The sequence below is a fragment of the Homo sapiens genome, chromosome 11 (genome assembly GCF_000001405.40).
Source record: "Homo sapiens chromosome 11, GRCh38.p14 Primary Assembly".
NCBI lineage: Eukaryota > Metazoa > Chordata > Mammalia > Primates > Hominidae > Homo > Homo sapiens.
The window spans coordinates 46,311,823-46,335,052 of record NC_000011.10 but is presented as its reverse complement, the minus strand read 5'-3'; the positions used below and the strand labels follow the sequence as shown (position 1 = coordinate 46,335,052).

Here is a 23,230-nt window from a genome sequence, read left to right as displayed (position 1 = left end):
TGTGAGTCACCGCGCCCAGCCTCCATTTGTGATTTGTCTCTGACCCACAGCTAAGGCAAAACTCGGGGTCATCCCCTTATGTTAAAAGTAAAGAACTGACGCCCAGGGAGAGATATTGTCCAGCTCAAGGACACACAAGTCTCTGGCAGAATTGAGAGTAGAAACCAGGTCTTCTGACTCCCAGGCTGACATTTATCCCAGGAGTCTCCATTCTTTGCTGCATCCCCTGTGAGTCCCTCTGCACTTCCTCCTGCCCCAGGGGGACATTCATACCTACAGCCAGAGGCATGGGATGGATGATGCACTCCCCTGGGCGTGGTGTTCTGGAAGAACTTGGTAATGGAGCCCGGTGTACCCACGATTTCTAGTATACCCTAGAAGGTGGAGGTAGGGCCCATGGGAACCTGGCCTGCTTCCCATTTGCTCTGAGCATCTTGCTTCTTGGAAAATCCCCTCCCCTTCTGTCCCTTCCTCCCCCAAGTGATGGAGCCCTGATGGCCCCAGAGCCATTAAGAATACTGAGGCCTTTCAAGCTCCCAGGGCTGGGCAAGTTTTATGAAACGTCTTCCCAGAAGCCACTGGGAGAACCAGGGCAGCCTCAGACATATCCCAAACACCCCATGGTTGTAAGTGGACAGGGAACTTGTCCTCTCCAACCAGGCCGATGGCTGTAAGGACCGCAGCTGCCCTAGTGGCCCTGCTAGACTCTCCAGGGGAGGTCACTCTGGGCCAAGGGCTTGAGAGGGACAGCAAGTCCAAGTTGAGGCTGTGGTTTGGGAGAGGAAGAGGAAGGTAAGGTGTGTACTGGGCTGTCCCAGCTCCAACCTCTGTGTAACTTTCCCACCCTTGTTCTGAAGGGCTGTCCTCCCTCATTAACGTCCTACCCCAGGTCACCAAAATGACCTCTGGGGCCCACTCCAGCTGGCTCCTCCAGGACCCTCTGGGCAGAGGTGGCAGGCCAAGAGACTCTGACACTGACAGAAGACAGTTGAATTAAGAAGATGTTGGGTGGGGGTGGGGAGGTTCCCTCTGCCCCTGGAGGTTGCCAGCCAGGGCCTGCTGGGGCATGGGGGTTCAGGAGGGAATTCTGTTCCCCATCTCTGGGCAGCAGGGTCTCCACAGTGGTGGCAGGGAGCCTCTCAGTCATTTCCACAAGCCTGTGCCTGGCACAGACTCAGCCCACGGGAAAGCTCAGGGTAGACCTGTTGAATGAAGAGGGGGTTCCTCTTTCCCCCAGAAGGGCCAGGGGGCATCTCCTGGCTCTCCCCAGCAGATAGAGGTTTGTAAGAACAATGTCATGGCTCTTTCCTCTCCTTAGCGCCTGGTACACTGTTCCCTCAGCCACTGCATATTGGATGAATACGGCTTTCACGGTTCAGGCAGAGAAGGAGTCTCAGAAGCTGCCTCCTTCCCGCTGTACACGAAAAGACAGAGATCCCTCGGCAGTCATCTCTAAACTCCCAGCGCCAGGCAGGCGGCGGGCGCACAATAAACGTTTGTGCAATGACGCCTGCAAGAGGGGTGGTCCCAAGCGCCGCGCTCCCCTCTGCCCACGTCCTCCTTACCTGTAAGACACCTGCTTTCGTAGGTGCAGCTGGCGGAAACGCTCCTCCACCGGGGGCCCAGCGGCCGTGCCCCGGGAACCCTCGGGCCAGGGCTGCGCGACCTGGGCCTCCTCCCCGCGCCGGCATCGCCGCCGCACCACCTCCTCCTCGGCTGCCCGGCCGCCGCCAGCCCAGTCCCAGCGCTGCCCTCCGCCGCCCTGCCCCTCGGCCATCGTGCGGCCGCCTTCCGCCCGCGGCTCCTGCGGCCTTTCGGGCACCCGCTCAAGTTCGAGTCTCCAGTCCGCCCGGGCCGGGGACGCGAGGCGGGGAGGGAGGGGAGCGCCGGGTTCCGCAGGTCCCTAGCGACGCCGACGCTTAGACGACAGGAGCAGCGAGATGCTGGGCGCTGCGCCTGGGAGAGGCGGGCCGGGGTCCTCCTGCGCTCCGGGGGGGCGGGGGCTCCTGGCTGGAGTCGGGGTGCTGCGCTCTGCGCGCCGCGGCGCCCCCCGGACGGCTGGAGCGGAGCCGGAGCCCGGGCGGAGAGCGAGCTCCTGCAACCGCCGCTGCTGCCGCGCACCCGAGTGTCACCTTAGAGACACTCTCCAGCCGGTGGGGTCCGGAGGGGAGGGCGCCGCTCCGCCCAGCCCGCCCGCTCAGGGCACGAAGGGAGCGAGCCCGGCCCAGCCCACCACGGGCACGAACCTAGCTCAGGGCGCAAGGCCCGGGGTGTGGGGCGCCTCCTGCGACCACCTCTGCGCCCCCGCCCGGGTCCTAGTCCAGGCAGCTCGGCAGCTGCCAATCATCACCCCGCCGCCTGTCACTCAGCTACTGCGATGTGTCCCCTCCACCCCCACGGCTGCCTGGTCCCTCGCTTTCGGGCTTCGGCATTCGCCGCTGCAGCTGGCAGGTTTGGAGCGGGGGCGTGCAGAGGCGGTGACATGAGCCAACATTAACCCCGTCGGCGCCGCTGGAATTTAGAGACCCACTGGGTTTGGGGAAGGGGCACAGGAGAGGGAACATACCCAGGGATACCTTGAATTTGGGGATGGACCCGATGGCGGGTAACACTACCTTCAGGCCTAGAGCTCTTCTGGATCGTGCCTAGAGAGGGCCCCAGATGGGGGTGGTGTCTCCTCAAGGCAGGGAGGCCTCCTAGGACCTGAATTACTGAGGCTTCAGGGCCAGGGTCTCTTAGATTTAATCGGCCTGCTGGGTCAGGAGAGGCTGATGAGATAGGGGAGAAGCCAACTCCAAAAGGAAAGACTGGAGTTCTCCTTGAGGTCCATCTTGGACTCCCCCTTCTTCTTTCCCTCCAAATCCCATGGTTCCTCCTTGGGTCACCTCCTCTTGTCCTTGCAGTGTTCCTCAGGTGAACCCTCCATCTGGATTACAGTGGGGCCCTGGTGAACTTCTCTGATGGAACACCTCCTCTTCACGGCCCCAGACTCATCTTTCTGGCCATAGCATCTACTCTTCTCCCGTGGTATTTCCTAGCTTCCTCATGCCTATACTTTAGCCTGCACTCAAGGCCTGCCTTGATCTTCCCCCATCCTGCAGCCCAGGCTCTTCCGTTTTCTCCCACTCATTTATGCTCCTTATTCTGGGAACTTGCATCAGGACTGTACAGTCCCCTCCATCTGATATCTCCTATTGTCCCCTCCATCTGATATCTCCTATTGATGTACTTCAAATTCTGAGGCTTTGCTTAAAAGCCTCCTCTTCCAGGAAGTCTCCTTGGATGGCTCCAGCTGAACAACACTCTCTTTCCTCCCAGACCCCATGGCCCTCTGCCTCAGATGTCTAATCTAGTCTGTGTCTTTCTTTTCACTGAAGTTGTGACTATGAGTGTGGGAAGGTGGGAGGGACCAGACTCACAGAGGTAGAGAATGGGCTACAAAGGGAGACAGCTGTGTCATAGCTGCCCTGCCCTGTGCCTTTGCTCAGACTGTTCCCATTGCCTGGAGTATGTCCCCTTCCCTGTCCTGCCTATGGAAGAGGTGTTAAGTGCCCTTCAAGGCCCATGTCAAGTGCCACCTCCCCCATGAACCCCTCCCCAATACTCCAGTACAGATACAGTCTCCCTCCTTCAGCCCCATAACGATTTCCTGGGCCTCCCCTTTACCCTTGAACAATAACTAACATCTCATTTGATCCTCGCCACAACCCTGGGTGGCAGATATTATCACTTCCTCCGTCTTATGGAGGAGGACACGGAGATATCATTCAAGTGATTTATTTGCTCAAGATGGCTCAGGCAGTGAGTGGTGGGGCCAGGATTTAAATTCAGGGCTTCTGGCCTCAGAACTCACGCCCTTTTCCACTTCATCATGCTGCCAGCCACAGAGTAGCAGCCTCCTGCAGTTTGCCCTCTTCGCTCTAATCTGGAAGCTTCCCAAAGGGCAGGGAATAGCTTGCTTCAGTTCCACCTCCCATCTCTGTCTCTGTCTAGTACTTCCCTGTCGGATGAGTGGAATTGCATTCAACTTCTTGGTCACAGGGGAGCTTCCTCCCGAGAGCCAAGTTCTAAAGAAGTCTTGCTGCTGGAGTGGGTAGGGTGGGGCACTTGTCCCCGACCCCCTACAAGGGGGTCAGCTGCCCTTGGGTTTGCTCTTTCAGGAGTCTTGGCTCCTATTTCCAAGCGGCCTGGGCCAGGGGAACCTCCTACACTGTGAATTATGGTAGTTCTGGCTGGGTTTGACATTCCCTCGCCAGCTGCCTAGCTGCTGGGTTTCCAGGTTGGTTTTTTGTTGAGCTCTTTCCTGCCGCGTTCTCCCCACTCAATCCTTTTTAAAGTGAGGCTTCTTTCCTCTGTCCTCACAGCTCCCCTCCCCCTTAGGACCAGCTGCTGACTGCATTATCGTTTAGCTGTGGTCTGTGCTTTTCACACAGAGGAAGGAGAAAATGAGACTCCCTCCCCAGACCAGCCCGACCACCTTCTGCAGCCTCTCCCAGCTGCAGCTCGCTCCTCTGAACATCTCCGTCTCCAGCCCATTCATTATCTCTGTGCTCAGAAAATAATTGCTAATGTCTTTTGAGAATTTACTGCATAACTGACCAGTGTGCTAAGAGCTTTATGTGCAAGCTTTCATTTACCCCTCCTAGCATCTTTAAGAGGGTGAGCACCATTTAACAGATAAGGATACTGTGGCTTCGAGAGATTAAGTGATTTGCCAACATCATACTTAGTGTAGCACAGGTATCAGAGCCCACAAAGTATCTCATGCTGCTTTGGAGCTGAGTTCCCAGCCTGCCTACGTCACTCCCTGGAAAGACCCCAGGGGTACCTGTTACTGACATCAGATATGTGCCCAGTTTGGCCAAATGGCTCCTGAGGTCATCCAACCTCTCCGAGATCAGAACTTTGCCTGGGATTGGGACCTTGCCTCTGCCCATACCAGCTCCAGGCATTGCCCACAGCTACTCTCCCTTTTTCCAGAGCTTTGGTTTAGGTATAACAAAGTGTTTGTTGTGGCAATTTGAGCAGGATGACTGCCACCGCAAAAGCCATCATATGTGCGTGGCAAAGCAGGCTGCCAAGGGCTGACAATAGAGCGTGGGGACTGCAGCTCCATTGCTGGGGACACACTGGGGTTGGGCCCCCTTGGGACGATGACACATGGCACTGAGGAGGTGGCATGTTAACAGGTGGCTTATTCATGGGGACTAACCTCGCCTCGCTTCTCAACACAGGCCGGTAAGATGGCTTTGGATGAATGGGCAGAGGGTAGTGATCACAGATGACCGCATTTTGACCAGCTCAGCAACCATGGGCTCGCTGGCTTAGTTACTTCAGGAAGCTCCAATGTTCTTAGATCTTGTGCAGTAATATGAAGCTGGCGGAGGCAGGGAGGCCTAGAGGACATGGGAAGTGGGACTGGGGAGAGGGGTTGAGGGGCAGCATGAACTCTGAAGCCAAACAAACCTATGTTCAGATGCCAGCCTTGACATTTTCCAGCTGCATGAACTTCACCAAGTCAGTCACCTCTCTGAACCTCACTTTCTTCATCTGTAAAAATATCCACCCCTGAAGATCACTTAAATTCCTAATTGGGATATTCAGATCCTCAGTCCAATGCCTGGCACAGGGTAACTGGTCAAAAATGGGAGATGCAGCCCTGGTGCGGTGGCTCACACCTGTAATCCCAGCACTTTGGGAGGCCGAGGTAGGCAGATCACTTGAGGTCGGGAGTTTCAAACCAGCCTGGCCAACACGGTGAAACCCCGTCTCTACTAAAAAATCCAAAAAAAAAAAAAAAAATTAACTGGGCTTGATGGCAGGCACGTGTAATCCCAGCTACCTGGGAGGCTGAGGCAGGAGAATTGTTTGAACCTGGAAGACCAAGATCGTGGTGAGCCGAGATTGCACCACTGCACTCCAGCCTGGGTGACAGAGCAAGACTCTGTCTCAAAAAAAAAAAAAAAAAAGGGAGATGGAATATTTTCAGTTCGTTCTTTCTTTCTTTCTTTCTTTCTTTCTTTCTTTCTTTCTTTTTTTTCTTTTTTTTTTTTGAGTTGGAGTTTCACTCTTGTTGCCCAGGCTGGAGTGTAGTGGTGCGATCTTGGCTCACTGCAACCTCTGACTCCCAGGTTCAAGCAGTTCTCCTGCCTCAGCCTCCCAAGTAGCTGGGATTACAGGCGCCCGCCACCATGCCCAGCTAATTTTTATATTTTTAGTAGAGATGGGGTTTCACCATGTTTGCCAGGCTGATCTCAAACTCCGGACCTCAGGTGATCCACCTGCCTCAGCCTCCCAAAGCCCTGAGATTACAGGCATGAGCTACTGCACCTGGCTGTCAGTTCTTTTTTTTTTTAATTTTTTCTTTTGTTTTTTTCTTTCTTTCTTTCTTTTTTTTTGAGACAAAGTCTTCCTATGTCTCCCAGGTTGGAGTGCAGTGGTGCGATATCGGCTCACTGCAACCTCCATCTCCGAGGTTCAAGCGATTCTCCTGCCTTAGCCTCCCAAGTAGCTGGCATTACAGTAACATGCCACCACTCCCGGCTAATTTTTGTGTTTTGTTTTTGAGACAGAGTCTCGCTCTGTTACCAGGCTGGAGTACAGGCATGATCTTGGCTCTCTGCAACCTCTGCCTCCCAGGTTCAAGCGATTCTCCTGCCTCAGCCTCCTAAGTAGCTGGGACTACAGGTGCGCGCCACCACACCCAGCTAATTTTTGTATTTTTAGTAGAAACAGGGTTTCACCATGTTGGCCAGGATGGTCTCAATCTCTTGACCTCATGATCCGCCTGCCTTGGCCTCCCAAAGTGCTGGGATTACAGGCGTGAGTCACCGTGCCCAGCCAATTTTTGCATTTTTAGTAGAGATGGGGTTTCACCATGTTGGCCAGCTGGCCTCGAACTCCTGACCTCAGGTGATCTGCCTGACTTGGCCTTCCGAAGTGCTGGGATTACAGGCGTGAACCACCGTGCCCGGCCTAGATTTCCAGCCCTTTCCTTTAGGAGCTGTGTTTTGTTTGAGCTCCATTCTTGGCATGGTGCCCTGCCCATAAGGGACACCCGTGAATACTTGCTAAATGAATAAATGAATGATGAGAGGTCACACTAAATGTCAGCTTTGTCTTTCCTTCTTCTGAGTGACTATTTCAAACTGTCCCTTTTCTCCCCCTTCCACGCCCATGCCAACCCTCCACACTGCCCCTCTCCCACACCTCAGTTATTGGAGTACTCCTTCAGTTTCCTGTCTCCTCACATTCTGCACCCACAGAATGCTCTCCCTTTTTGTCTAGTCCTCTCTGTCCAAAGGTGGACCTATCCACCTGCCCCTGGATCCCATTCCCACCCCCCGCATCTACCATCCTCTCTGTGGCCCTCTGGGTTTTCCCTCTGTTGGCTCTGTGTTCTAGAAATAACCATGGTCAATGATCTCCCATCTGAAAAACTGCTCCAAACCATATTTTTTATTTTATTTTATTTTTTGAGACAGAGTCTCGCTCTGTTGCCCAGGCTGGAGTGCAGTGGCGTGATCTTGGCTCACTTCAACCTCTACCTTCCGGGTTCAAGCGATTCTCCTGCCTCAGCTTCCTGAGTAGTTGGAATTACAGGCATGCGCCACCAAGCCTGGCTAATTTTTTTTTTTTTTTTTTGTATTTTTAGTAGAGAGAGGGTTTCACTATGTTGGTCAGGCTGGTCTTGAACTCCTGACCTCATGATCCGCCCACCTCAGCCTCCCAAAGTGCTGGGATTACTGGCATGCGCCACCACGCCTGGCCCAAACCACATTTTTAAAAAAGTTCTTTTTTAGAGACTGGGTCTTGCTCTATTGCCCAGCCTGGAGTGCAGTGGTGCAATCACAGCTTGCCGCAGCCTCAGCCTCCTGGGCTCACGTGAGCTTCCTGCTTCAGCCTCCACTCCAGGAGCGAGGACACCCCTGACCATCGCCCCGGGAAGTGCTCTCCTGGTCAGTTTCTGGGCACTCATCTCTCCTGGTTTTCTTTCCTCTCCGACCATCCCTTCTCTGCCCTCTGGTTCACTCCTCTTCCCTCCACTCTTAATGTCTTCTTCCCTGGAGTCCTGCCCTTATCTCACATCCCTTTATGCAGACCCAAGGCTTTCACCTACCACCTGGGCGCTGACAATTTCCTCATCTCTGGCTGGGATCTTTTTCTCCCAAGCCCTATAATTACATGTTAATGTGAATGTTCTACAGGCAACTCAAATGCCAGATGTGCTAAAATGAGTTCTAATCTTTCTCTCCAAACCTGCTCTTCCTCCTGAATCCCTGTCATGGTCAACAGCCTCATCACCCACTCAGGACCTCCAAGTGGGTCATTTCAGGCCCCACCCTTCCTCCAGACCTCACGGCCAATTTGATGTCAGAGCTTGTTGATGATTCCTTCTAATTCTGTCTGGAATCATCTCATCTTCTCCATTCTGCAGAGACTCAGGGCAGGGACGTCTGATTCTTTCACTCTCTGGCTTGAAAGGATGCGGTGGCTCCCACCCCTTCAGGATAAGGTGTTCTTTCTTTAGATCTCTGGAAGGGCCATGGTTTTCCTCAGGGCCAGGATGAGGGTAAACAAGCTGGCACCTAAGGTGTGACGTTTAAGGAGCTTGCCTGCCTGCCTGCCTGCCTGCCTGCCTGCCTTCCTCCCTCCCTCCCTCCCTCCCTCCCTCCCTCCCTTCCTCCCTTCCTTCCTTTCCCTTTCTTTCCCTTTCTTTTCTTTTCTTTCTTGACGGAGTCTCTCTCTGTCACCCAGGCTGGAGTGCAGTGGTCCGATCTCAGCTCACTGCAACCTCTACCTCCTGGGTTCAAGTGATTCTCCTGCCTCAGCCTCCTGAGTAGCTGAGATTACAGGTGTGTGCCACCACGCTTGGCTAGTTTTTTTGTATTTTTAGTAGACATGGGGATTCACCATGTTGGCCAGGCTGGTCTCGAACTCCTGACCTCAAGTGATCCGCCCGCCTTGGCCTCCCAAAGTGGTGGGATTACAGGTGTGAGCCACTATGCTCGGCCAGGAGGTGCCCTTTCTCAGGTCTGTCCAGGTGCCTCCTTGTATTCTGCACCCTGGTTTCCAGATATAACAAAGGGTTTGTTGTGGCAATCCGAGCAGGATGACTGGTGCGGCAGAAGCCATCACATGTGTGTATCAAAGCCCGCTTGCACCACCCTAGTCTTGCTTTTCATGGCTCCATGCCTTTGCATTTGCCATTCTCTCCACTCCAAATGCTCTTACCCCTTCTCTGTCTTACCAACTCCTCCCATCCTTGAAGCCTCGGTTCAAGGGTCACCCTCCTCCCGGCTGCCTTCCCTCACCTCCCCCTCCATCTGAATTACATGATACTCTGTGTCCCTTAATATCCTGTACACCCCTCCATCACAACATCCCCATGGCTGGTTTATTCCCCAACTTCCACCACCGGCCTGGGGCCTTTGAGGTAATGATGGTACATGCCTGCAGTCCCAGCTACTCAGGAAGCTAAGGTGGGAGGATGGCTTCAGACTGGGAAGTGGAGGTTGGAATGAGCCGTAATCATGCCACAGCATTCCAGCCTGGGCGACAGAGTGAGATCCTGTCTCAAAAAAAAAAAAAGTTATCATTAATAATAATAACATTGAGTCCAGGTGCAGTAGTTCGCACCTGTAATCCCAGCACTTTGGGAGGCCGAGGCAGGTGGACCACTTGAGGCCAGGAGTTTGAGACCAGCCTGGCCAACATGGTGAAACCCCATCTCTAATAAAAATACAAAAATTAGCCAGATGTGGTGGTGCACACCTGTAATCCCAGCTACTCTGGAGGCTGAGGCAGGAGAATCGCTGAATATGGGAGGTGGAGGCTGCAATGAGCCATGATTGCACCACTGCACTCTAGCCTGGGCACCAGAGTGAGACTCTGTCTCAAAATAATAATAATAACAGCGTGGGATCCAGAGCCCAGGCTTTAATGGCCTTGCTCTAAAGGCCTACGCTTTCCAGCAGTTAAAACTGATGCCCAGCAGCAGGCAGTGAGGTCTCTGTCACTGTCACTGGAGGTGGTCAAGCCGAAGCTTTGAGGGGAAGGGGCGTGGAGGCCAGTTCTGAGTTTTCATGATTCTGCCTGGCCTCGTCCCACTTTTCTTCTGGTGGGTGGCTGGTGGTAGTGTAGGCACCATCCCACCACCGTGCCCTTGCTTCTGTGTATGAAAGTATCGTGCCTGAGTGATAAAGTCCAAATGCCTTAGCAAGGCATTCGTGACCCCTCTGGATCCGGCCCTGGCTCATCAGTCAGGCTTAATTCTTAGCGTCTCTGGCCTCTACCTTCTGGCTATTGTAAATTATTTGACTTTTCTTTTCTTTTCTTTCAATAGGGACAGGGTCTTGCTATGTTGCCCAGGCTGGTCTCCAACTCCTGGGCTCAAGTGATGTTCCCACCTCGGCCTCCCAAAGTGCTGGGATTACAGGTGCAAGCCACCTCGCCTGGCCTGTTTGACTTTTCTGAAACGTTTCCTGTTCTGTCTCACCTTGAAGTCTTTTGCCCAGGCTGCTGCTTTTTCCTGGCATGCCCCTTTTCCTCTTTTCTGCCTTTTATTAGTATTTTTAGAGTGGGGGGGTTTTGCTCTGTCACCCAAGCTGAAGTGCAGTAGCACGATCATAGCTCACTGCAGCCTTGAACTCCTGGGTTCAAGTGATCCTCCTGCCCCAGCCTCCTGAGTAGCTAGGACAACAGGCATGGGCCATTATTATCATGATTAAAAAAAAAAATTGTGGCCGGGCGTGGTGGCTCACGCCTGTAATCCCAGCACTTTGGGAGGTGGAAATGGGTGGCTCACAAGGTCAAGAGTTGGAGATCATCCTGGCCAACACGGTGAAACCCCGTTTCTACTAAAAATACAAAAATTAGCTGGGCGTGGTGGCGTGTGCCTGTAGTCCCAGCTACTCGGGAGGCTGAGGCAGGAGAATTGCTTGAACCCAGAAGACGGTGGGGGGTTGCAGTGAGCTGAGATCCTGCCACTGCTCTCCAGCCTGGGCAATAGAGCAAGACTCTATCTCAAAAAAAAAAAAAAATTTGCGTAGGGACCAGGGTCTCACTATGTTTTGCCCAGGCTGGCCTTTAACTCCTGGGCTCAAGCAATCCTCTCGCCTTAGCCTCCCAAAGCGCTGGGATTACAGGCATGAGCCACCATGTCTGGCCATTTCCTGCCAATGTCTAACAATCTTTCCTGTCCCCTCCTCCAGAAAGGCTTGGTGCTCAGGTCTGGGTGAGGTCTGTGTGCCTTCCTAGCCCCGCTTGTGAGGCCCTCTGTAGCACATGGTATCAATATTGGCTTTTTTCTTTTCTTTCTTTTCTTTCTTTCTTTCTTTTTTTTTTTTTTCAGACAGAGTCTTCTGTGTCACCCAGGCTGGAGTGCAGTGGCGCAATCTTGGCTTACTGCAACCTCCACCTCCTGGGTTCAAGCAATTTTCCCTGCCTCAGGAGTAGCTGGGATTACAGGCATCTGACACCACGCCCGGCTAATTTCTATATTTTAGTGGAGACAGGGTTTTGCCATGTTGGCCAGGCTGGAACTCATAACCTCAGATGATCCACCCACCTCGGCCTCCCAGGGTGCTTGGGATTACAGGCGTGAGCCACTGCACCCGGTCCCGACATTGCCTCTTAATGCACAGCTGGTGCTTCTTGGAGCTCACTAGTTCTGGGCCCTGTTCTGAGCACTTTAGATGACTTACCTCCTTGAGTCCCCAATACAGCCTTGTTTTACAAATGAAGAAATGGGGGCTCAGAGAGATTCCGGTTACAGAGTGTCTTACTTATGTCCTATGTTGCCTAGCAAATCACTACCACCTGGCAGCTTCAGACAACACACATTCCCTATCTCTGTGTCCATGGCTCACAGTCTGGGTATGGCTTAACAGGGTCCTTCCCTCTGGGTGTCACCAGGCTGCAGCCAGGTATTGTCTAGGCTATGTTTGCATCTGGAGCTTGGGGTCATCTTCCGAGCGTGTTCAGGTTGTTGGCAGAATTTGGTCCTTGCTGCTATGGCACTGGGATCCTCGGCTCCTAGAAACCGCCCCTCCCCTCACAGCATGGCTTTCTGCCCCATGGCCAGCAGGAGGTGCTCTCTCTATTTAGGAAGGCCCAGTCCCTTCCTTCGTGGCTTTCACCTGATTAAGCCAGGCCCACCCAGGATCATCTACCTTTTATTATTTATTTATTTTTTTGAGACAGAGTTTTGCTCTGTCACCCAGGTTGGAGTGCAGTGGCATGATCTCGGCTCACTGCAACCTCCACCTCCCAGGTTCAAGCAATTCTCCTACCTCAGCCTCCCGAGTAGCTGGGATTTTAGGTGTGCACTACAATGCCCACCTAATTTTTGTATTTCTACAAAGAGATGGGGTTTCACCATATTGGCCAGGCTGGTCTGGAACTCCTGACCTCAAGTGATCTGCCCACTTCGGCCTCCCAAAATTCTGGGATTACGGGCATGAGCCACTGCGTGCCCGGCCTCATCTCCCTTTTTAATGAACTCAAAATCATCCGATTTGGGATCTTAATTACATCTGCAAAATCTCTTAACTGTTTCCAGAAAAGATCATCTAATTATGAGCGTGATGGTCTCTCATCTTCGCAGGTCCCCTCCATGTTCTAGGGGAAGGATTCAACAGGGTGTGTACACCAGTGGATGGGAATCTTAGAGGCTATATTAGAATTCTACCTGCCACACACAGCTAGCAAGTGGCAGCTCCAATACTCAAATGCAGCTCTTCTGACTTAGAAGTCTATGCCTTCAATCCAGCTGAGGCAAAGGATACAAGAACTAAGAAACTGGCAGGTCTTAGGAGGACCAAACTGGGTATAGTATGTGAAGTGTCTAGCACAGTGCCTGGACCACAGTGGAGGCTCCATTCTTGCAGTGGCCATCCCCAAAGGCCAAGATGGTGGCTTTGATACTCTGTCTTGATCCTTGGAGCAGCCCTGAGGTGAGTGAATTGCAGCAGATTCTTTGGCTGTTTGGTTTGAATTCTGCACCTGGCTAGAAGAGAAAGCCCAATAGAAATGCCTTCTTGGCCAGGTGCAGTGGCTGACGCCTGTAATCCCAGCACTTTGGGAGGCTGAGGTGGAAGATTGCTTAAGCCCAGGATTTTGAAACCACAGTGAGTTATGATTGCACCACTGGACTCCAACTTGGGCAATAGAGCGAGATCTTGTCATTCATTCATGTACACATACATACATACATGGGGTTCTCCTTAAATAGGCAGATAAAAAACATTTATCTAAACTATCTTCCTAATCCTCAAATAAAAGCATACACATATAAAAGCTATAAATAAAGCCCAAAGACAGAAGAGGAAATAACAAATCAGTCAACAAAATATTGGAAAATAAAAAGTGAACAGGCTGGGCATGGTGGCTCACGCCTGTAATCCCAGCACTGTGGGAGGCCATGGTGGGCAGACTGAGCCCAGGAGTCTGAGACCAGCCTGGGCAACATAGCGAGACCCTACCTCTACAAAAAAAAAAAAATGCCTTCTCATACTCCTATACCCCCACACCCCCTGCCAGAACATAAAATCAACCTACCCTTGTTGTTCCCCTGCCCTTTGGTTCTACTTTCCCTCCCCTCCAATGAAGAAAGGCACAAAGTCAGGAGTTGATGCTGCATCTTTTTTTTTTTTTTTTTGGTTTTGCTTTCTTAAAGCATGTGCTGAGCTGATGAAGAGAGCAGTTTGGCAATTAAAAAGGCCCAGCGGCTTGGGCAGCAGCAGGGGGGTGCCAGGTGAGGGTCAGGTAGTCCCTCTTTCCTGGGCCAGGGAGCAGCAAAGCCCGCACTAACTTCATAAAATATAAAACAAGGGAGGGGCGAAGGGAAGAGGGAGATTTGTAAAATACAATATCTTAGGGGATTGGCAATAATAAAAAATAAGGTTCATTATTTACAAACAATTTCTGTTCTTGGTCTCTGTACAGTGGGGGTGGGGTAAGGGGTGTCTGTGAGTGGGGTGCGTTGATGTGTCTGTTTGGGTGCAGGTGTGGGGGCAGGGAGGCAGTGGTCGTGTTGGGCATATGAGAGAGGAGGTGGGGTACCCAGTGAGTGGTTTGTCTGAGAAGGACGGATGGATGTTGGTGGGAAGGAGAATGAGAACAGAGTGGTCGGCCCAAGGGAAGAGTCCAAATGTCAGGGGCAAGGAAGGGCTGGGAAGTGGAGCCTTTTCTCCTGGAATGGGAAGCTCCAGGAGGCAGGGGCACGAGGCGGATCCGGGTTAGTGAGCAAGAACTCCTCTTCTGGGTACCAGGGGTCCGTCCTATGTCCTGGGTCTTGGCATGGCCTAGGAGAGTTTGATGGTGGTGTTGGGGCCCAGATCCCTGGAGAGAGAAGAGAGGCCAGCGATGACTGTCCAGCAGGAACCCTCTTACCCTCTGCAAGCTGGATCTAGACCAAGTAGGGATGGGGCCTTGGGAGGGTGTGGCCAATGTGGGGACCAAGGGTGGGCAGGAGGCAGGTGGAGCCTGAGACCTCAGGAGGGAAAGGGGCCACACACCCCACCTGTCGTGGAACCACTCCTTGGAGTGGGAGAAGTCGGGGCTGGTGCCGTTTCCACCGTCTTTAGGCCAGGCCTCACTCAGGTACTTGGTGGTCTCGTGGGTGCTGTCCAGGTGATCATGCTGCAGGTGGTCCCGGGGCCGCTGCTCTGCCGGCCCCCCGGGGTTGATTTCCCAGCCATCTGGGGGCTCCATGGGCAGCAGGGTGCTGCGGCCATCTTCCCATAAGCCTGCCCCGTCATCGTAGAATAGGAGGCTTCGGGAGGGCACTGGAGAGGGAGTGTAGGATGAGCGGTGTGCCCAAGATTCCCTCAACATCCTGGCCACATTCATGGCCTAGTGGTTAAGGACGCAGGCCCTGGATCTGAGTCCCAGCTCTGACACTTCCCGGATGTGTGACCTCAGGTAAGCCACACACTTTGCTTTAAACTTTCTGAGCCTCAGTGTGCTCTTCTGTAAAATAGGGATACTAGGACCAACCTCATGTAAATGAGAGGTTTAAATGAGGTAATACAGGGGAAGTGATTGAAACTGTGTTCAGGAAATACTCAGAAAAGTCACCTCTTCCTAGCAGAGGGTACTGAGTTTGGGCATCTGGGAGCTGTGTTCTAACCTCCACCACTTACTTGCTCTATCTCCCTTTTTTTTTTTTTTGAGACAGAGTCTTGCTCTGTCGCCCAGGCTGGAGTGCAATGGCAGGATCTTGACTCCCTGCAATCTCCGCCTCCCGAGCTCAAGCGACTCTCCTGCCTCAGCCTCCCGAGTAGCTGGGACTACAGGTGTGTGCCACCATACCTGGCTACTTTTTGTATTTTTAGTAGAGACGGGGTTTCACCATGTTGGCCAGGCTGATCTTGAACTCCTGGGCCTCAAGTGATCCTCCCACCTTGGCCTCCCAAAGTGCTGAGATTACCGGAGTGAGTTACCGCACCCGGCCAGTCCACCACTTACTTTCTGTGAGACCTGGAATAAGTCTCTTCCCCATTCTAGATCCTAATTTGCCCTTCAGAGAAGGAAAACAAACATTTGTTGGACACCCATCATTTGTTAGGCATTATCCAAGGCCCATAGACCTAAGTAGAGTGGTTAAAATCTTAGAGAAACTCTAGGGAATGAGGTTTCTTTAGCCCCGCTTCCCAGAGGAGGCAGCTGAAGTTCCAGGCACTCAGGGAAATTGTCCTCCCTGAAGGGAGGATGCGAACCCAGGTCTGCCTGGCCCTGGGATCTGCTGCCCCTCCGGCTCTGCAGCCATGACCTCATAGTCTGTGTGAACAGAGGTCCCTGGAACTGCGCAGTGCGCCAGCTCTGCAAACCAGCCTGCTCCAAAGCCATCTGCCTGCTGGGATGTGTCTTCCTCTCCACCCAGCCCAGGTCCTGGGCCTAAAACCCACTGCCTTCCCTCCAAGGGGCTCATTCATTGCCTCCTCTCACTGTGGCTTTATCCATCAACCCCAGCTCTCTTTCCACTCCTTTTTCTCCAGTGGCTTCTGTGGCCTTGGAAAAGCAGACACATGGCTCTCCAGACCTTGCATTGCTGCTGCCCACCCGCCTTTAGTGACCACCCCGTTCTCTCCTCCTCAGCCTGCACGTGTCCGGGGAGGAGCTTTCACTCTCCCTGTCTCTACTTCCTCTTTCCCTAACCCTCCCCACACCAGCTTCCTCCCCTCAAGGCCCTCAACGTCTAGCTCATCCTCCCTGCTATATCCCTCCTTCTTGAAACTCACTCCTTAATCTTCCCTCCTCTGACCTCCCATCTGTTTCCTCTTCCTCCTCCTGTCCTGCCAGACACGTGGTTCTTGGTAAGTGACTGACTGGTAAGTGATGAGGGACAGCCAGGAAGTTCCTCTGTGGGTCCACCTGAAGGATTCTCTGCGTCTGAAATCCACACTCTTCTTTGCTGGGCCCTACCCTGGTTCTCCCTTTGCCAGCTACTGTGATGTAGCTATTCTCTCCTCCGTGAGCTCTAAGAGACTGAGTGTGCTCATTTCATAAGCACAGACACTGTGCTATTTCATGCACTGTCTCACAGCCATGGCTCAGTAAGTGCAAAATTGCCACTCCCATTTTCTAGATGAAGAAATGAAAGCTTAAGACACATGCCCCTGGTCACACAGCAGGTGGCAGTGCCAGTTACGATGGACTTGACATCCCCATGCTCCTAACCACTGTACGTTTACTATCCCCCTTGGAAACAGTAGATATCTGAACCCACACCACCGCTACCCTTCTTCTGTCCATGGTAGACATTATCAGTGGATCATGACACTCCTTCCTGTCAATTCTGAATGGTGCCTCAGGATCCTTCTTTTTTTTTTGAGATGGAGTCTCACTCTGTCACCCAGGCTGGACTGCAGTGGCGTGATCTTGGTTCACTGCAACTTCTGCCTCCCAGTTTCAAGTGATTCTCCTGTCTCACCCCTCTCAAGTAGCCGGGACTACAGGCACATGCCACCATGCCCAGATAAGTTTTGTATTTTTAGTAGAGACGAGGTTTCACCATGCTGGCCAGGCTGGCGTCGAACTCCTGACCTCAGGTGATCCACCGCCTCGGCCTCCCAAAGTGCTGGGATTACAGGCATGAGCCACCGCGCCCGGCCCAGGGTCCTTCTTAACTCAGTGTTTCAGGCAGCTACCACCACCTTATTGGAAATGGCTTTTGAGCTGAAACTCACTTGCTGTCCCTATCATGAGATACTGATGGTGCCTAGCAGATGCCCCATAAGCACTGGCACCATAATGCATGGGGCCCAGGGCTGGAACATTCCTGTTATCCCCTAAACCCACCTCCTGCAAGCCACTCCTGAGCTCTCTGGGAGCTAGGCTGGGCATCGGGAGCTCTGTATTTTAGTCCCAATTCTACCACAAACACTGAGCAAAGCATAGACTCTCTTTGGGCCTCGGTTTCCCCATCTGGAAAATGAGGCAAAATGAGATAATGCTGACCCCACACTTGGCTTCTCTCTTATGTCTGGCTTCTGCCTGGACACTGGGGCTGGGGCAGGGCAGCCTCAGCCCAGGGAGCTGGCATGACAGGCGGGCACTCACTCTGGCTGGCCGTGTAGACGCCGTCTGCGGCCAGGGGGTCTTCCTTCACAGTCTGGGAGCCGGAGGAGAACTCGGGAAGGCAGGGCACGAGGGAGCCCAGCACCAGAACAAAGCACAAGGCTGCCACCTGGTAGCAAAGAGAGAGTGGCATCAGATCTGGGGTAAGGAGGGGCCACGGCCCTGACCACCCCACTCCTCCTCTCCCAAACCAACAGGCACAAAAGTCTTAGCGTTTTCCCAAGGAAGCAGCTGCTCCAGTCGACCACTCCCTCCTACATGTGGGGTCTCCTATCCTCTCTGGGGAAGGCAGGGACAGCCCAGGCCATCCCAGCCCATTGTAGGGGGGTCGCCACAGGCAGTGCTAGAAGTAAGAGGGAAGTGGCCAATGTGGAGTCCCCTTACGGGGTAGAGGAATCAGGAAAGGAAGGAATAGGTGCAGGTGGGGCTTGGGGCTGGGACGAGGGAGGGGGACACACCGCCACATCACGTTCTCAGCAGGATTCTGAGGAGCCTGGCTAGCGGGAGGTGCTGAGAGCCACGGAGCCCACACTACCCCTGCCCATAGCCTGGTTCTGCTGCCTGACAGCTCGAGGGTCTCGGAGGGCCGGGGCATGCTGAGCCAGGCGGCAAGAGACTGGCCATTTCCAGAAGAAGATAGAAGAGGGACTGGAAGAGGTCTGAAACACGCCCTGGGAGCCTTCCGGGTTTCCAGGGGTTTCCTCAGCCTTTTCACTGCCATCTGTTCCAGAAAGAACCATGTCCGTTCTTCCCTGAGTCTCCCCAAGCCCTTCCCTGCACAAGGCCTGTGGAAGCCGCCTCCTCAAGGAACCTGCCCAGCTGTCCCCTAGCTGGGGCCACTGGAGTCACCTACACATCTACACTGTGTTAACCAGTCGGGGACCGGTGTGAGGCAGAAGGCACCATGGGCTTGGAGAAGGAGTCTGGAGTCTGCTAGAACCAGCCCACCAGGCGCCAGGATGGTGTACCCTGGGACGCTGCCCACGATGTTACCGATCCTTAAAGCTCTGCCCAACCCTGGAAAAAGCCAGCCTTGGGAAGAACTCTCCTCCTGTGGGTCTGTGGTGGAGGGAGCCACACCTACCATGAGGCAGGTCCCAGTCTGGGTGGCGGCCATCTTGTAAGGTCTGGAGATCTTGTTGGTGACCAGAGTCTGGAGTTTCTGCAGCTGCTGGAGCAGGGTCCTGAGGAGGGCACAGCAGTCAGCTGGCAGGCTTTGACCCCGCAGGCATCTCTGCCTCCTGGAGCTCTCCTAGGGGGCTGGCTCCAGACTTGGCCTCCACGCCAGGTGCCCGTTTCAGTCAAGATAGGAAAGGTCACCTCCTGCGTGGCTCCTCTGCAGAGTGGCCTGGCGCCTGGGGCCTGCCTCATGGTGACTGGCTGGGTCACCTTGTGGAAGCTCAGGCCTGCCCTGTGATGCTCCTGGCCAAGGGGGTTGGAGGAGGGAAGGCCTGCCCCCAGCTGCACAGATGCCAGCCTTCTTTTGCTTAACCGACACCTGCCACAGTTTCACTGACCTTCCCTCCCTGGCACCCCCAGCACCCTGAGCTGATAAGAAGGAGCTGTTTGGCACAGTGCCTGGTATGTAGTGAGTGTCTAGTAAATGGTAGCTATTGTTTTTGTTAGGTTTTTTGTTTTGTTTTGTTTTGAGACAGAGTCTCGCTCTTTCACCCAGGCTGGAGTGCAGTGGTGCGTTTGCGACTCACTGCAACCTCCGCCTCCGAGGTTCAAGTGATTCTCCTGCCTTAGCCTCCTGACTAGCTGAGACTACAGGCGTGCGCCACCATGCCGGCTAATTTTTGTATTTTTAGTAGAGACGGGGTTTTGCCAGGCTTGTCTGGAACTCCTGACCTCAGGTGATCCACCCGCTTCGGCCTCCCAAAGTGTTGGGATTACAGGCATGGGCCACCGTGCCCAGCCATTTTTGCTTTATTGCTGTGTTTGCTTTTATCACGGCACTTCGTTTATTTATATATCTCCACATCAGTCTCCTTTATTAACTGTGGCCTCCCTGAGGGTGAGGACCGGGTCCCACTCAGCGTGGAATCTTCTGGGTGCATACAGAATGCGTTCAGCACAGGCTTGGTGGGCAAATGTTTAATCTCTCTCCACCCAAACGGGCACGTAGGGGTTGCAGTTCCCACAATGTACAGCAGGTGGCGAAATAACTACAAGGGCTTGGACCTACTTTGGGCCAGAAAGGAACCCCAGCCAGAGACAGAGGGGTGGGGTGGGGGGTCAGGTGGGATTCTCCAGGCCAATCAGGGAACAGAGGAGTGGCTGGATCCCGCTGGAGAAGCTGGGGGAGAAGGAAGGAAAGAAGGAAAAAGTCTTGTGTTGAGCACCTGCTGCATACCAAGGCTGTTGTCTAGGTTATTGTAATTAATCCCAGCAAATAATTATTAAAGACCTACCACAGGCTCATGGCTGGGCACTATCAGGAATTTGGAATGAAAATAATGGTGGGGTGTGGTGGCTCACGCCTGTAATTTCAGCACTTGTGGGAGGCTGAGGCAGGAGGATTACATGAAGTCAAGAGTTCAAGACCAGCCTGGCCAACATAGTGAAACCCTGTCTCTACTAAAAATACAAAAATTAGCCGGGTGTGGTGGTACACGTCTGTAATCCCAGCTATTTGGGAGGCTGAGGCATGAGAATTGCTTGAACCCAAGAGGCGGAGGTTGCAGTGAGCCGAGATTGTGCCACTGCACTCCAGCCTGGGCGACAGAGCAAGACTGTGTCTCAAAAAAAAAAAAAAAGTAAATAAAAATAAAAAAGTAAAAATAATGAAAGAAGGCCAGGTGCAGTGGATCACACCTATAATCCCAGCACTTTGGGAGCCAAAGCAGGAGGTATGCTTGAGTCCAGGAGCTGGAGACCAGCCTGGGCAACACAGCAAGACCACGTCTCTACAAAATACTTAAAATTAGCCAGGGGTGGTGGTGTGCGCCTGTGGTCCTAGCTACTTAGGAGGTTGAGGGGGGAGAATCAGGAGTTTGAGGCTGCAGTGAGCTATGATCACCCCACTACGCTCCAGCATGGGCAACAGAGTGAGACCCTATCTCAAGAAAATAAATAAATAAAAATAATGAAAGAAGAATAAAAGCTAACATGAATTGCACATTTCTAAATGCCAAGCATCAGGCTGGATCCTTTATTCGCAGGATCTTATTAATACCCTCACATCCATCCTATGAGATAATGTTTCTTTTCTTTCTTTTTTTTTTTTTTTGAGACAGAGTCTCACTCTGCCACCCAGGCTGGAGTACGGTGGCACCATCTCAGCTCACTGTAACCTCTGCCTCCCGGGTTCCAGTGATTCTTTTCCCTCAACCTCCTGAGTAGCTGGGATTACAGGCATGCACCACCACATCCGGCTAATTTTTGTATTTTTAGTAGAGATGGGGGTTTCACCATGTTGGCCAGGCTGGTCTCGAACTCTTGGCCTCAAGTGATTTGCCCGCCTCCGCCTCCCAAAATGCTGGGATTACAGGCGTAAGCCACTGTGCCTGGCCCTATGAGATAATGTTTCTATCATCCCCATTTAGACGAAGAAACAGGGGCCCAGAGATATTTAACGATTTCTCCAGAGTCACAAAAATGGCAGAGCAGCGTAAGAACCCAGAGCTGTGACTTGACGTGGCTGCTACCTGCCAGGCACTGTCCTGCTGTCTCTATACTCCTGTTTCTCAAACTTCATAGTACATGTGAATCACCCAAGGACCTTGTGAATGTGCAGTTTTTAGCTCAGTAAGTCTGGAGAGAGTTCTGAAATTCTGCATTTTTTTTTTTGAGACAGAGTCTGGCCCAGGCTGGAGTGCAGTGGCACAGTGTCAGCTCACTGCAACTGCCGCCTCTCGGATTCAAGTGATTCTTCTCCCTCAGCCTCCCGAGTAGCTGGGATTACAGGCGCCCACCACCACGCCCAGCTAATTTTCTATTTTTAGTAGAGATGGGGTTTCACCATGTTGGTCAGTCTGGTCTCGAACTCCTAACCTCAAATGATCCACCCCCCTCATCCTCCCAAAGTGCTGAGATTACAAGCGTGAGCCACCGTGCCCAGCCTGCATTTCTAACAAGCTCCTAGGTGATGCTGATGTTGCCTGTCTGGGTCAGCTGGCTTTGAGTAACAAGGATTTACACCAGTGGTTCTCAAACTTGAGGGTGCAACCTAATTACGTGGAGGGCTTATTAAAACACAGGGCGCTGGGCCCTACCCCTGGAGCTTCTGATTCAGTAGACCTGGCATGGGGCCCGAGAATAAGCATTTCTAATAATTCCCAGGGATTGTTGCTGGTCTGAGGACCACACTTTGAAAACATCTGCTCACTTAAGCAACTCCCCAGCCCTGCCAGGTGTAGGTGAGGAAAAATGGGAACACAGAGAGGGGCAGGATGTAAGTGGCCCAAGGCTGCAGGGTGTGTTTCTGGGGTCCCTGTCATCCTAAACTTAGTTCTCTCTCCTCTCCCCTGTCTCCCAGAGCTATGCAGAGCCAGGCACGGGTTGCAGAGGGGCAGGGGGCCAGGTTGGATGCAGGAGGCACTACCCACCTGTTGGCATTCTCCAGGGTCTCCACCTTCTTCCACAGTTCATTGTTCTCAGATGTAAATGTCTCCACCCTGTAGGGGCCAAGCAGGCACAGGCTCAGGGGCAGCCCCCAGACTCACAACAGCTCCTCGGCCCAGCCCACCACCATCACACTCCCTGTGCCCCCTGCCTCTGCTGCCCCCTGAGGGAGGGCCTAGGGGAGGGCAGGTCAGGCAAGGGAGTGGATTGCCCACCCCTCCCAAGCCCCTTACTTCTTTTCTAGACACTCCACATACTCCTTCTTCTTACGACGGCTCTCCTGGGCTGAGATCTAGAGGGGGAGGCCCGAAAACAAGGGTTAGCACTGCCACATATTCACTTCCTGGGCCCCCCAATTTCAGAGCTGGTATGCCAGGGGAGCCCACCCACCAAGGAAGCCCTCTGAAGCCCCAGGGTGGCAGGCTTTACCTTGTTCTTGATTTTCCTCCGGACTCTCTTCAAGGCCTTCTCCTCGGCTTTGGTGAGGGGGAGTTTTGTGGGGATGGGGTAGCCCTCAGCAATCAGGGTCCGCTTCTCCTCCTCTGTCAGGAGCAGTGGCCCTGATGTCCCCTGTAATTTCTGTAGGAAGTATGATGTGGTAGTTAGGAGCCAGGCAGCCCTGGGTTCAAATTCAAGCTCTGCCATGTGCTATCTATATGACCTGGGCAAGGCACACAATGCTCTATGCCTCAGTTTCCTCATCTGGAAAGGGAGTGGATCTGGGTGAAATTCAGTAACATGTGTCAGGTGCCAGGGCCATGCTGAGAGCTCAGGTGTTAGGCTCTTAGTGCATTGTTCGGGAGGGCTTCCTGGATCCCATCCCTGAGACTGCACCCTCAAAGCTTACTTGTCCAGGGTGCCCCAAACAGCATCTCCCTCAGACCCCTCCCTACAATCTTGGCTTGGGAGACTCCACACCCATCCCAGGGCTCAGGGCCTAGCTCCATGTTTCCTGGGGATTCTGGACCATCTGGGCACTTCCCCTCACACAGCGCTCCTTGGAGGCAGCCTGGGTCATCCCCTGGAGGTCAGGAATGTCAAGTTCTAGTCCTGGCTCTGCAATAGTCTCCTGTTCACCATG

General features: G+C 53.2%; 2 protein-coding genes across 7 annotated transcripts in view, besides 3 other annotated features; both read right to left on the bottom strand.

The window, feature by feature from the left end:
- DGKZ (diacylglycerol kinase zeta) overlaps positions 1 to 2,127 on the bottom strand; it is a 47,629-nt gene extending 45,502 nt beyond the window's left edge. The window contains exon 1 of the mRNA NM_201532.3: positions 1,566 to 2,127. Coding sequence (NP_963290.1) covers positions 1,566 to 1,777 — 212 coding nt within the window. The 5' untranslated portion in view covers positions 1,778 to 2,127. The remainder of the gene's footprint in view (positions 1 to 1,565) is intronic.
- Positions 1,702 to 1,751: a silencer, noted in NCBI's record as "silent region_3302". NCBI's record gives its function as "represses an Ori minimal core promoter by ATAC-STARR-seq in GM12878 lymphoblastoid cells {active_cell/tissue: GM12878}" and the evidence as "EXISTENCE:reporter gene assay evidence [ECO:0000049][PMID:35858748]".
- Positions 2,652 to 2,701: an enhancer, noted in NCBI's record as "active region_4676". NCBI's record gives its function as "activates an Ori minimal core promoter by ATAC-STARR-seq in GM12878 lymphoblastoid cells {active_cell/tissue: GM12878}" and the evidence as "EXISTENCE:reporter gene assay evidence [ECO:0000049][PMID:35858748]".
- Positions 3,838 to 3,979: a silencer, noted in NCBI's record as "fragment chr11:46352624-46352765 (GRCh37/hg19 assembly coordinates)". NCBI's record gives its function as "represses an EF-1alpha promoter that drives an FKBP-Casp9 reporter gene in an ReSE screen in K562 erythroleukemia cells {active_cell/tissue: K562}" and the evidence as "EXISTENCE:reporter gene assay evidence [ECO:0000049][PMID:32094911]".
- Positions 13,644 to 23,230, bottom strand: part of CREB3L1 (cAMP responsive element binding protein 3 like 1) — a 43,748-nt gene continuing 34,161 nt past the window's right edge. For 4 of the 6 annotated variants that reach the window (NM_052854.4, NM_001425267.1, NM_001425269.1 and 1 more), the window contains 7 exons: positions 22,579 to 22,728; positions 22,383 to 22,441; positions 22,134 to 22,202; positions 18,668 to 18,767; positions 17,566 to 17,692; positions 14,525 to 14,789; positions 13,644 to 14,343 (listed from right to left, as the gene is read on the bottom strand). In NM_052854.4, the coding sequence (NP_443086.1) occupies positions 14,307 to 14,343; positions 14,525 to 14,789; positions 17,566 to 17,692; positions 18,668 to 18,767; positions 22,134 to 22,202; positions 22,383 to 22,441; positions 22,579 to 22,728 (807 nt within the window). In that variant the 3' untranslated portion in view covers positions 13,644 to 14,306. Of the gene's footprint in view, positions 14,344 to 14,524; positions 14,790 to 17,565; positions 17,693 to 18,667; positions 19,883 to 22,133; positions 22,203 to 22,382; positions 22,442 to 22,578; positions 22,729 to 23,230 lie in introns of all 6 variants that reach the window. The other 2 variants (NR_189153.1, NM_001425266.1) reach the window with 2 other exon arrangements.